The sequence below is a fragment of the Homo sapiens genome, chromosome 2 (assembly GCF_000001405.40).
Source record: "Homo sapiens chromosome 2, GRCh38.p14 Primary Assembly".
NCBI lineage: Eukaryota > Metazoa > Chordata > Mammalia > Primates > Hominidae > Homo > Homo sapiens.
The window spans coordinates 29,185,830-29,200,335 of NC_000002.12; the positions used below are offsets into that span (position 1 = coordinate 29,185,830).

The following is a 14,506-nucleotide window of genomic DNA, read 5'->3' on the forward strand; positions in this document are numbered from 1 at the left end:
ATAGCTCTCCCTTGAGAGCAGCCTCAAGGTGTAAGAGAAGCTTTTTCCGTTTATCTTTTTAGAATGTCTTCCAGTGAATAGAATGTTCATGACAATAAATCAGCAGCAAATTTCATCATTTACTATACCTTTCAAATAGGGCAAGCGTAGTCGTCATGGTGGTGCTGAGAAGGGGCAGGGCATTCTGAATTATTAAAGATATTTCAGGTGTTTAAATTGAGGCTGTTAGCTGAAAACATAATCTGTTCCCAAGGATCACTGGTGTCATTTTTTAAATGCTCATAAATCTGGTTTAAATTCGGCTCTAAAATCTCACATGAACCCAGATATGTGAGTTTGTTGCTACCGTAACCCCAATAGACTCCTGTGTCAGGAGAAATTTGGTCTCAGGATTAGATATGTAGTCAGAGTTGTTTCAACTGGCTACATAAAATCCAACTGGGATCAGTTGAACTGAGCAAGCTAACTATCCTGTACTGAATTTGAATTTTAGGCATTTCTAAAGCATGGAAGGTTTAACCATCCAAGTGCTGTGTTCTTGGCCTGTGTCCATCTGGTGGAGGTTAAGTTCTTTCAGTTCCAGCCCTTCATGACTTTATTCCACGTAGACAGACTTACCTTATTGAAGACTGAACTAATTATTATTTTTCACCTAACAAATCAAATCAGACTGACATGGAGATGAATCAGGTTAAGATTATATGCACAGCTTCAAGCCATGCGTTTTGTTCTTTTCTCTAGTATGACTTCTGAGATTCAGCTTGAAACTCAGTCAACAGTGTTAATGACATTGGCTGCCCCTGACAGTTCTTGTCGTGAAGGGTGGGTGTTACTATCCAGTATCTTTGGGGGGAAAAACCCCTATAATGGATTTTTAAATGAATTTTAATAGTCATAAAAAGTCTTGTATTGATGGCAAGGGGAAGCGGATTTTGCATTACAGACAATATAGAGCATTACAGAGCAGAAGAATAAAGCGAAAAATTATAGTCACCTTTATTGAACCTGCTAATACAAATGGATTTCTAATAAGAATTCCAATACATTACATATATTAGTGAAAATACTGTAATTTTTCAGATGATATTTTCTCTTTCTTGAAGGGAATAGAGCTTAGGGAATTAAGAAATAGCATGAGATTCTTGAGGCCTCACTTTACACCCCCTGGTGTGTGACAAAAGAAAATCCAGTGTAATTTTCTGCTTTAGTTTCTTATCCTTTATAAAACATCACCAGCTGTTTCCTGGTACGTACTTGAGGAAAAAGAATTTCTATCTTGAAAATTACTTTATTTCTTCTGAGAACTGTGAAATACTATATAAATATTACTTTGAGAATAATGCAAAAAGATTTAAATTGTTTCTTTTCTCAACTATTAGATGCAGTAAAATATAGGAAATTTGCCCACAGTCGTCACAATCTTATCTTGGTGGATTGTTTGAATTGGCTATATTTTTGGATTCCCTGTTTCTAGGGATCCATTATAAAGCTATATGGTTCACAACAGATCTCCAAAAATTGCCATCCAATGGCAGTGGATAGCTCTATAAAACCTGAAGAGAGGGGTTCTATCCAATTCTATGGTGATTGTGAGAGAAGACTCCTGTTCCTCATGAATTGCCCATCATAATGGCACTTGGATGCGCTTGTTGAGGAGCGTCAGAATCCACAGGCATCTCCTGCTCTCAAACACCTGGCCTGCTTTAGGCTTTGCCACCTCACTTTGGGAATGGGCACCGATGTGGTTTGGCTGTGTCCCCACCCAAATCTCATCTTGAATTGTAGCTTCTATCATCCCCATGTGTCACGGGAGGGACCTGGTGGGAGGTAACTGAATCATGGGGGTAGGTTTTCCCATGGTGTTCTCATGATAGTGAGTAAGTCTCATGAGATCTGATAGTTTTATAAAGGGCAGTTCCCCTGCACACACACTCTTGCTTGCCGCCATGTAAGACATGCCTTTGCTCCTCCTTTGCCTTCCACCATGATTGTGAGGCCTCCCCAGCCATGTGGAACTGTGAGTTCATTAAACCTCTCTTTCTTTATAAATTACTCAGTCTCAGGTATGTCTTCATCAGCAGTGTGAGAACAGACTAATACAGGCACTAAGAGGTGCAAATTGTCAACTGACAAAAAGAAAGTGCATCAGATATACCATCAAATATTAGGTGTGATAAAAGATAAGTTTTATGGTTTTACTTTGCTAATAAGGTTCCCATTATAGCAAATGTAATGAAAGAGAAATAAGTGATGTGGCACTGAAAGCATGAAAGTCATTAAATGGACATGACTCATAGTTCTGCCGGCTTTGCTGCTTTCTGGAAATCATCCCTGATTAATCTCGTTTTGCTATGGTAAGGATTTGATGATTTGTTAAAGAGATCTTTGAATAGAAAGATCTTTGAATAAACAGGACTGATACTAAACTCTCTGGTCTACTTCTACATAAAGATTACATATGATTTGTCTCACTGGGATAAGAGTTAAGGTCAAGGACACATGCACACACCAGTGATGCTCCACTGATAATGACTGGGTGTTGGAATTTACCTTACACAGGTGAAGTCCTACAGAATCATGGACTTGACAGTTAGAAGGGGCCTTTGAGACCAAAGCCTTCTATATATATCTCTATGTATATAGAAGATGGAGTCTTGCACTGTCACCCAGGCTGGAGTGCAGTGGCGTGATCTCCACTTACTGCAACCTCCGCCTCCTGGGTTCAAGCGATTCTCCTGCCTCACCCTCCCGAGTAGCTGGGATTACAGGCACCTGCCACCATGCCTGGCTAATTTTTTGTATTTTTAGTACAGATGGGGTTTCACTATGTTGGCCAGGCTGGTCTTGAACTCCTGACCTCGTTTTTTAAATAAAATGAGAGTTTCAGTAACTTGCTTGAGTCAGGGAGGTAGTAATTGCAGTCTAGTAGTGGTAGGTCTCTTAACTCCTGCCTGGTCTGCTTGCTGTTTTCTCAAGTAATTGATGAATGCTAAACCATCCGAGATGATATAATCATCTGAAGTTTTATCAATTTGATATTCATCTATGTTAGCAAATACCTCTTCTAATATGTAAATATTGTAGGGAGAAATACTACCCTAGCTGCTAAGGTTTCAATGTGAGTTTGTTTAATAAGACTGTCTTTCACCTAACACCAGCTGAAATGAACATTGAGTGATGGAGGAAAAATAACTGTGGGTTAGTTCTCACAAGGAGGCAATAAGTCTTAGGAAATTGATGGGATGGGGAGAGAGCCCGAGGATGTCAAGAAGAGGGATATAAGAAATGGACATGTGAAGGCACTAAAGACTAATTTTGGTATTTGTGCTTTTTCTGAGGTTAGACTTGTAGTGCCATCTTTCCATGTCAAGGGTAACACACCTGTTTTACACTTACTGCATGCTGAAGAGAGGAAGGTGATTCCTGTAGTTTTGTGGTCATAGTTCATGTAACTTCCCGTCCCCCGCACCCCCCGTATAGTAGTTTGTTCTTACCAAGTTTTTCAAATGTTTTACAGTTGTTAGGCTACGGCTAAAAAATGTTTTGCACCTGAGTAGTGCATCAAAAATTAAACACCCCCATTCAGGACACCAAATGAAAGTAGAATCTTAATAGAAGCCTTACTATTTGCTCTCAGTAATGATCTTGTATTTTACAGCAGCATGTTTAGGATTACGGGAATGCTGGTTTTGCTTTTTCATGCAACAACACAGGAGCCATCTGCTGCAATGAAATTAGCAAAGTCAAATTGTGTGTTCTTTAGGGACTCATTTTAAAAACCATTAAAGACAGATTGACAACACACTTCATACAATTTTATGAATCTTGTCATGCGTAGCCTGTTATTTAGAGTAACCTGAATTCAAATGCATCTCCTTTTAGGTCTGTAAAACTCATACGGATTTTAATCCTGCTATTACTACTGAAAACCTATTAAAATGGCTTGATCATTAGAATTTCTTAGTGGTGTGCTATGGGAATTTGGATATAAAGGCCCATGTTTTACAGAATAAACTTTACTGTAGTTACATAATACCTTACAGCTATAGGGTTTACTAAGTACTATGTGGAGATGCCAAATTTTTTTTTTAAAGAATTACTGAAATTGTGGTAGAAACTTTATGTTCTTCTTTTGAGCTGAAAAGGAGTTGGGTTCTGGCAGGGTTCCTGCTACTGTCATTAGAGTTAGGAGGAGGAATAAGTGCTGGTGTTCAGTTGCACAGTCGGGTGACTATGGTTAACAATAGTGTATATTTCAAAATAGCTAGAATAGAGGATTTTGAATGTTCTTACCACAAAGAAATGATAACTATAGGAGGTGATGGATATGCTAAATGCCCTGATTTCATTTATATAATATATGCATGTATTGAAGTATCACATGATACCCCATAAATACACATGATTATTATATGTCAAAACAACAAAACCAAATGACAGATGAAGAAAACATGGCACAAATGGGAAGAGCCAAGAGGGCTGGATGTGAGTGGGGACAAGAACCACTGCTGAGCACGAGGGCAGGGAGGCATAGACATACCTGCCCCCACACCCAGCCCCACCTCACCTGGGGGCTGCCAAGGTGTAAGAGGGGGCGCCTGTGCTTTCACATAGTGCATGATCTCCCTGAGGAGCTGTGAGGAAGGGAGGTGATTGTCCTCCTTTTATGTCTGCAGACATTGAGGTACCAATGGGTCAGATAACTCAAGGGGAGTCAGAACTCAGACTCTAACTGGTGGAAAGAGAATCCAGCCTTTTAACTACTGAGTAGAGCATACTCTTTTTAAAAAGTTTATTCCTGCTAGTCTGAATTGCTATAATCCTGAGGTACAACATATTAACAAACTGGTCATTGCTCACAAATTGCCAGCTTCCCAGTGGAACAGTTGTGAACTTTCGATGGGCCTTATAGACATAGGATATAAATAATTATGCTAGATTACGGTTTAATTAGCATAGCTTCTGCAAACTTTAATTGTGCCCGTTCATATTCTGGGTGGAACTTTCTATCATGGTTAATAACTTTATTAAAATCCATAGCGTCTGTATGAATTGTAGCCATGTGCCTGGAGCAATATTCGAGTGGACCATAGTCCAGATTAATACCATGCTGATACCCATGGGTTACACCAAGTTAAATGAAACATCTTCAGGTCATCGCATCTCAGTGTGGAGTTGTTTATTTACTTATCCATGTATACAAGCTTTTAAGACTTGACTATTATTTACATGAAAGTTGATACCAATAAGGACGATTAGAGAGATCAACAAATCAATCTCAGTGGTAGAAAGGCACAACCTGAAAATGTAATGGATTTGTCGTTCTTAAAAGTGGAAAGAAGTAATATTTTCCCCATGAATAACAATAAAGAGATGGCTATTTAACCAGATAGCTTACTCCCAGCTTAATTGGTTACTGATGTTACAAATCTAAAATGGAGGTGTTTTTCTCAGTTATTGACAACTCCTCTGTCAGTATCCTTTAGGAAGAGTGTTTCTCAAAGTGATATTCTCGAGCCCCTTCAGATGGTCTGTGAGTTAAATAATGTGTATATGATTAGGCTACTTTTGTGCCTGGCATGAACCAGAATTTTACCGATACATTTATTTAGAGATGAGTTCATTGATGTTTCATCTTCATGCATCTCTGATGAAAATATTTTTGGCAGTTAAGCAGATAAGGAAGGTAGCCTCTAGCCATCAGTGCTTTTACAGTTGTACACTCTAACTCCAGGGAAAGGCAACTGCCTTCAGAGAAAGGAAGAGTTGTCTGGTGTTGGCTTTTAACATAATGGCTTTCCCACGCTGAAAGTGATGCTTTTGACGCAGGTGAAACTGAGAAGGTCAGAAAAAGGTATGTATATATATACTTTTTATAATATACACACACATAGTCCTTTTGTTTGGTAATGTTTAGTAACTAGCAAGTAATAAGAGAATTGCTTTCCTCTTGAATGCTTTGGTGTAGCTACCAACAGGAAAGAAAGTGGGCGTGAGGCTAGAGGAGAAGCAGAAAGAGGATGAAATGAGGACTTACTGATAAAGCATTCTAAGCATTACACACATAAGTATGTGTGTAAAATTAAACAGATTCCCAATGCGTTTTCATGGAAGTAAAATTCATCTGTGAAAACCAAGTTCAGAACTCCCACTCTAACATGTCAATGTCAACCTCAACTCTCCAAGGGTTCCACAATTCCTTTCCTCATCGCCTCCTAGGGAAAAAATTCTTTGTTTTAATCTGCCTTTGACAGCTATACAAATTATGCGATGTGTATTTCAGCACATTTATGTTCCCAGTGTACTTGGATCACATGAGGAAGGGAGAGAAAACGCAGGTTAACGGTGAAAGGAAAGAGACTGGATCAGTGCCTCTCCTTAGGACCACCAGCGGCCTGTTCCTCCCGGGGCCCTGTCCATCTCTACAGGTACAAACTTGAGTTTGGTAGTTCATTCCATGACTGAAACGAATAGAAGGTTTTGGCCTAAAATGTATTGACGCTTATGCCCACAAATGGATATGTTTCCATGCTTCCATGTATCACTGCTGCTTAAAATTTTTGCTTTTAAATGATCAAAATTTAATTAGTGGAAATTTTTTAAATAAGTAGTTTAAATCTTGAGTTTTAAATCCAGTAGGAAACCTCACACTCAGTTTTTCACTTCTAGTAGGAGGATTTTCTTAAGGCATGAGGTATATTTAATAGGATGTTTGAATCTCTGGATCTGTATTGGTGCTTTATCCTACTCAAAGCACTTGGAATGTATGCATTTCATTGAGATGAGTATATACACACTTCTGCTATACTACTGGAACTACTCACGACATTTTTTACAATTGGTGATGAATCAGCACAATTAAAAGCATCTAACCGTCACCTAAAGTGACATTTCAGTTGTCTATGATTTTTTCTTTTTCAAGTAAAGAATGTCTTTCCCCATGCTTAGTCATTACAAATAACTCCTTTATTTCCGTTCCCTCTCCCCTCAAATGGCTCATGTCCACATCAACAAGGCAAGGAAACATCTATGACCCCAACTATGAAACATAGAAGCAGCTAATTCTGACTACATTGAAGCAGAGCACACACAATTTGAAAGAAGCATAAGGAAGTATACAACAAACATGCATAAAAACCTTATGCAACCACATCTGGGCCTTGTATTTATCACTCATTTTTATGATATTTTCTTCTTTCGAAAGAATAGGATGAACCCATGCTCAAAACCTTTCTAAAGCATTTTCAAAATACAGCTTTTTTGGTGGTACTTCAAAATAGGTTGGCACAAAACAAAACGTGACATTTGGTCTCTGGTTTGTGAAGGAGCCATTGCCTCTCTCTCCTCCACGGTCTTAGGGATCCCAAGGAAGAGAAGTGAGTGTGCGACCGAGCTCAGGGCCCAGGCTGGTTCATGCTATTCTTGCTTTTCAGAATGGTATCCTCGTAATGACCAGCTCCAGGGGCAGTAGCGGCTTCTAAGGGCAAGCCCTGTTGCTGGTAGCCGTAATTGACATTCCCACAAGGGAAGTGACGTAGCCTGAACAGAGGTACCTCCTTCATATTGGCAGTCAGCGAAGAGGGCTCTAGGAGCAGTGAGGCCCCCGGAAGTCTCCCAGTTGCAACGTTAGGTGGGACAGTACAGCTTCCCTCCAGCCCCAGGTTACCCCTGTCGTGTGGCTCCTTCTTTGCTATAGGATTATTCTTTTTGGTGGGTTTCTCTGTAAACCAGGAGCCGTACGTTGGGTTCCACAAGCTGGTGGGCTTGTTTCTGGATCCGTGGACCTTGTGCAACTCCGAAGGAGGGTTGGACTGAGAGAATGCCATATTCACGTGTCCCCCTTCCACGGCCGGCCCTCTAGGGACTCGAACAGAGATCTCTGCAGCTGTGGGTTTCTTTGCAGCCTTGCCAGAGGAGGTGGTAGGCAGAGGTGGTGGGGCAGCTGGGCTGCGCTCCTCCTCCCGTTTTGCCTGTTGAGAGACCAGGAGAGGAGGAACCCCCTCAGGGTCCTTGGGCCTCACAGGCACTTTCTCTTCCTCTTCCACAAGTGGACCATATTCTATCGGCAAAGCGGTGTTGATTACATCCGGGTCCTGCCGTAGGGGAAATTATTAAAACTTTGAATCAGAGACAAAAAATGTTGGATCTAGAAGATACCTTAGAGATGATGTTATCTAAACATATTCTACAGATGAGGAAACCAGGATTTATTGAGAATATAGTAACTTACAGGCACTGGGGCATACAAAATGAATGGGAAGTCATCCTTATCCTCAAAGACCTTAGAGGATAAGCGCTATAATGGAAGTGTGTATGGGTGCCTGGGACAGAGTGGAGCAGGAAAAGCTTTGCAGAGGAGGAGACCTTTGGCCAGTTTTTAAAGATTAGTGGATTTAAAAAAAAAATTAAGATTATTATTTGTATTATTCCAGTCTAGTTCCACTAAAATCGTTCCAACTGGAAAAAATAAAAATAAAAGCCTATGTGTTTGACTTCAAGAGTGATGGTGGGGGGCTGGGGGGAGGAGGAGAGGAGACACATGCCATGTTGGCCTACAGGGTTTATTTTTTGATCTCTTCCCAGCTGCTTTCCATTTCCATTTGGGTACTTTACACTTGATTGTAAGTTTTCCTGTGCCACATCATCACATGTGCAGGTACCACAGTGCATGTTTTTGTGTTTGTTTTTTAGAGACAGTCTTGCTCAGTCGCCCAGGCTGGGGTGCCATGGCTCAATCTTGGCTCACTGCAACCTCTGCCTAGTGGGTTCAAGCCATTCTCGTGCCTCAGCCTCCTGAGTAGCTGGGATTACAGGCATGCACCCCACCCCCCCACCCCCCCACCCCCGCTAATTTTTGTGTTTTTAGTAGAGACAAGGTTTCATTCAACATGTTGGCCAGGCTGGTGTCGAACTCCTGACCTCAGGTGAGGCACCTGCCTCGGCCTCCCAGAGTGCTGGGATTACAGGCATTCTTTAACTAGTCTGGATGTGAGGGACCCTTTGCACAACCCAGGAAATGCTGAAGTGCTGTGAGGAAAACCATTTACAAAAACAACTGTGTGCTAGATCATTTTCACAGTAATAGACTGTAACATAGAAGAACAGAAGCAGCTGCCAGAAGTTTAGGGAAAATTTGTGGAAGAAAAATTAAATTTGGAGAAATTAATTAATATTTTATGCAAATTGAGAAAATACCCTCATTACCTGAGTAACAGAAAAACACGAGTGTTCGAGTTTAAAAAATAACTACCTCTGACTCATTAAAACATTCTTTAGTTCCCTCTGTGTTTTAGTAATTTCTATAGTGAATCAATCATTTTAAATATGCTTGTGTAAAACTGCCTTTTAAGAGGGATATTATAGACTATTGAGAAAAATACTCCTAAGAAGGTATATATGTTTAAGTGGGTGTATTCCATTCAGATTACAACAAAATAACCTAATGTCATTAAACAGAGTTCTCTGAAAGAACCTTCAATAACGTGATATAGGAAGTCTATAGATAAAAATGCCAGTTCACTCACGTGAGCTGAAAGGAATAAGAGGATGGAGTAGTGAGGCTGGAAAATGACTACAGTTTGAAAAATGTGTCTGTCTTTAGTCACAATGAAGAGGAGGGGATTTAAAGAAATAGTAGGTAGGCCAGGTGTGGCAGCACTTTGGGAGGCCGAGGCGGGTGGATCACTTGAGGTCAGGAGTTCGAGATCAGCCTGCCAAAATGGTGAAACACCATCTCTACTAAAATTACAAAAAAAATTAGCTGGATATGGTGGCACATGCCTGTAATCCTGGTCACTCAGGAGGCTGAGGGAGGAGAATCGCTTGAACCCGGGAGGTGGAGGCTGCAGTGAGCCAAGATGGCGCCACTGTGCTCCAGCCCGGGCAGTAGAGCGAGACTGCTCCCAAAATTAAATTAAATAAATAGTGGTTTATTGACTCTTCTAAAATATTCTCAGAATTAGATATCCTGGCAGAACGAGAACCAAGAGAGAGGGAAAGAAAGTGAATACAGGGAAGAGGAGAGCATCGGACAGAACAAAGCCCTGAGCAGGCGATTGGTGATACTGGCAGCAAGGCTGGCCTTGAAGGGGAGGAGAGACGGGAAGGCAGGTGGTGAGAAATGGCGGCAGAGGCAGAGAAGTTTGTATCAGAGACAGGGAGGAAATGAGGGCATTCTCTTATGATGATCTCCACCCTCTTGGTGAGGGAGGAAGCATAGCTGTCGGCTGAAAATGAGGGAGAGAAGCAAAAATTTCGAGTCGTTATTGAAGGAATGGGAGAGGGATCTGTAGAGGAACCCACAGGATTGCTAGAAGAATGTTTGACTTGGACAGACTCTTCAGGCCTTAACTCCTCATCTATAAGGTAGGGATATTTTACATTCCCCACTAAGGATAAAACGAAATACGCAAAAAGTGATTTGTGCAGTATGAATGATAGCAAGTATTATTGATGATGTTAAAATTTCTCCAGATTACTTTGAAATTTCATTCCCTTAATCCTCCTGACATATATAGTTGGACATATAATCTATCAATTTTATATGCAATTAATTACTTCACATGTTGTTATTTCTCCAGCCAGGCTCTAAACTATTTGAGAGCAGATGTGTTCCATACGTCTGTGAAGCTTCAATTTTGGCTACTAAAACATTAGGTCCCCAGTAGGGACTTGATAAATTCTCGTGGACTGGATTGATTCCCCAGTTTTTACTGTGTGTCTGGCACTGTGCTGTGTGCTGGTGAAGTTACTAATATTTATTTTACAAAATGGGCAAATGGAGACACCAGTCATTTCATTTTAGAGAAAATTAATTTTCACTATTTTGATCATAAATCTTGTACTCTGACTGGCTTGACCTATTTCATATTTCGGTATTTGCCATCTTTAAGACTGTTTCATATAGAGTAAATGTTGACCAAAGGGAGAAAATGTTTTACCTGGGTGCAGTATTCAATCCTCTCCAAAATGATGGCAAAGTTGGGCCTGTCTTCAGGCTGATGTTGCCAGCACTGAGTCATTATCCGGTATCTAAAAGAAGAAGCACATTAATTAAAATAAGGAGAAGCACAATGATGAAAAATATATTTTCTTCCAGCCCCAGGGTTGCAACGAATACGTTGAGGGTGCGAACTCGTCTAGGCCCCGTGTACTTGGCCTATGCTGCCCCCTGCTGATTGGTCAAGGAAGAGTGCGCAGGTGTAAAGGTATCTAACACAGACATCCTGATGTTTATGTTAACCACGGCTGCTGTCACTCCATTCCTGAGTTAAAGCCACTTTGGGGACAGAATATTCCAATTATATTTCCCATCCACGTTGCTTGTGGGAAGGAAGTGAGGGGTGCCAGGCAGGGCAGGAGACATTGCAGGGAATGGAAATCTTTAAAGTAGACACAGACATACGGTGTAGGGCAGCAGGGACTGGGCCTGGGACACACATTCCCAGCAGGAGCTTGGGGAATGTAGGCCTGGTGAGTCCACAGCCTGTAGCCAGACAATGGATACTTTTTCTGGGATGGCATCCTTGCTTTTGAGGGCCTGGGAGACGCATCCATCTCACTGAAGTCGCAGTCACATTCGCATCTTGGGGCATATTAAAGGGAGGGCAGCCATCTGCCCCTTCATCTTAAAGAAGCATATGTGGCTCTGGATATTTTTTGAAAAGAAAAACTGCTTAGTAACTAGCAGAAGTGTTCCTAAAAGAGTCATACACAGGCCCAGGGCAGTTCTTGGGTGGGTCCATCCGGCCTCCACTGGTGACAAACTCCAGAACTTCCTGGTTGCTTTTGCTGGGGTATGGCATATATCCAAGAGAAAAGATTTCCCATAGCAGCACTCCAAAGGACCTGGGCATGGGACAGAGGACATGGAGATGGATATAGACACACCCACCCACATTCACACACACACACAGGCACACAGACATACAATTTCAACCTTTTTTTCCCCCATTATACCCTTTTCCATAACATAGAACTCTTAAAATGTAGAAAAATTTAAAAAATAAGAAAATACTACACATGATGCTCCCTTAAAAGACAACCCCTGTTGATTTTTAAGTCGTTTCTGTGCTGAGATTTTTTTTCACTTATTTGCAGTTATATTCAATATGCAATTTTGAACCTTGACTTTTCTGCACATTTCATTATATCATAAACATTTTCCATGCCAGTCCATTTCATAAATAACATTTGGAATGGCTAATGGCTGTAAAACATTCCATTGAGTAGTTGGTTTGCCTTATCATTTCCACATTGTTTTCAGTTTTCAAAATATTTAAAATACTATAATGAACATCTTTGTGCATTTTTTAAAAGGAAGATTTCCTTAAGATAAAGTCTCTGAATTACTAGATTAGGATGTCCAGCCAGCTGATTTCATAGTCTCTTACAGTTCTCTGAGCTTCAGTTTCATCTATCAGATGCCCACTCATCAACTTCACTGGCCTATTTTAATAGGCAACTCAAATTTAACATGCCCAAATGGAACTCTTTCTGTACACACATCATCTCCTTTATTCTTTTCCAACTCATCAGCACCTCTGGTTATACATTTGCTCAAGCCCAAAACCTAGGAGTCATCCTTGATTCCATTCTCCCACACCCCTCCACTTCCCATCCAACAGTCAGCAGTCCTATAACTTTCAAGATAGATCTTGAATCCAGATAGGATAATCTAGTAATTCAGGGTAATTACTGAATTAAAATGTAGGCTAATTCTAGTAAAATAACTAGATCAAAAGACTATGAATATTGACAAATTCTTGGTGCATATTATTTGGTTTCCAAATGTGTTACTCTGTTCATCTACCAGCACCATGTAAAAGCGTGGTAGACACACTCACCAGCATTGAGTATTCTTAATAATAATGACAACTTTTGCTGATTTTAAGGGAAAAAATGGTAGAATATTTTAAATTATGTTTATTGACTTGATAATTCACATGGTTGGATGTTTTCCCAAGTGTTTATTAATTCATTTCACTTTTTTTTCCTATGAATTGCCCATTTTTATCTGCTGGGACAAATTGGTATCTATCAATCAATTTTCTTTTTGATTTGTAGGCACTCTTTATATGTCAGAGATGTTAACCTTTTATAAAAAATTCAAATACTTTTATTAGTTGTTTTCTTTTTTTTTTTTTATGTAGTCTCACTCTGTTACTCAGGCTGGAGTGCAGTGGTGCCATCTTGGCTCACTGCAACCTCCACCTTCCAGGTTCAAGTGATTCGCCTGCCTCAGCCTCCCAAGTAGCTGGGATTACAGGCGCCCACCACAACACCTGGCTAATTTTTGTATTTTTAGTAGAGACAGGGTTTCGTCATGTTGGCCAGGCTGGTCTTGAACTCCTGATCTCAGGTGATCCACCCACCTCGGCCTCCCAAAGTGCTGGGATTACAGATGTGAAACACCGCACCTGGCCTTAGTTGCTTTCTAATGCTACTTTTTAGCATACCAAAGAAAGATTTTTATTTTTAGATAGTCAAACCTATTTTTTTAATGTCATGATTTCCTTTATTTTATAGTTATACAATCTTCCCTTCACCAAAGATTAGATAAATATTTGCTATCTTCTTCTAGTTGTGTTTGTTTTTGCTCTCTTCTTAAATCTAGTTGGAATTTAATTTGGTGTCTAGTGTGAGGTAAGGACCTAAATTGATTTGCTTTTCAAATAACTACTCTTCCAACACTATGCATAAGATAATTTCCTCCTTACCCATTGACTCACGATTAAAAACAGGTCTGTTTCTGGCTATATTTTCACTTCATCTATTTGTCTGCTTCTTGCATTGATACCATTCTATTTTACTTTCTGTGTATTTGTCTTAAATCTGAAAAGGCATTTTTCTCTATTTCTCTTTAAAAAATATTTGATTTCTCATTTGTTTTTTTAAAAGCTTTATGAGATGAATTCTTCGTGTTCTAAAAGAATCACCTTTGATATTTTGATTAAAACTTTAAACCACTACCTAATGATCAGCTTTTTGACAAAGACTATCTTTTAGTGTGATTGTAGTTTTCTGAGGTTAGCAAATATTACCACAAAAATTGTAGAGAACAATAGTTCCTTCATCTTCTAAGAAACATGGGGTGCTTTTATTGTCATCATCTGTGTGAAATTTCAAAGACTCTTGTGAGAAGGATTGGGCAAAGATATTTTCCCTATTTTTCAGGTGAGAAGGTTGAAGCACAGGTTATTATACAACTAATCCGAGACAGACTGGAATACATTATTAGATCTCTTGATTTTGCTACTTACAAATTGCCTGGCACATATATTATTCCTTTCTGTTTGGAGATCTCTTGATTTTGCTACTTACAAATTGCCTGGCACATATATTATTCCTTTCTGTTTGGTGATCTTACTTCCCTTCAAGGCAAAACTAACTAGGCAAAATCAAATGAACAAGAAACTGGCAGTAAGGCCTAAAGAATTATAGCTATATGTTTTCTGTTTTTCTAGATAGATATAGGTTATAGCATCCTTTGAGAGCACTAATAGAA

At 39.9% G+C, this 14,506-nt stretch overlaps 1 protein-coding gene across 2 annotated transcripts in view; it reads right to left on the reverse strand.

The window, feature by feature from the left end:
• The window catches only part of ALK (ALK receptor tyrosine kinase), a 728,813-nt gene continuing 721,251 nt past the window's right edge, over window positions 6,945-14,506 (reverse strand). For both annotated transcript variants that reach the window (NM_004304.5, NM_001353765.2), the window contains 3 exons: window positions 11,713-11,847; window positions 10,941-11,031; window positions 6,945-8,093 (listed from right to left, as the gene is read on the reverse strand). In NM_004304.5, coding sequence (NP_004295.2) covers window positions 7,395-8,093; window positions 10,941-11,031; window positions 11,713-11,847 — 925 coding nt within the window. In that variant the 3' untranslated portion in view covers window positions 6,945-7,394. The remainder of the gene's footprint in view (window positions 8,094-10,940; window positions 11,032-11,712; window positions 11,848-14,506) is intronic.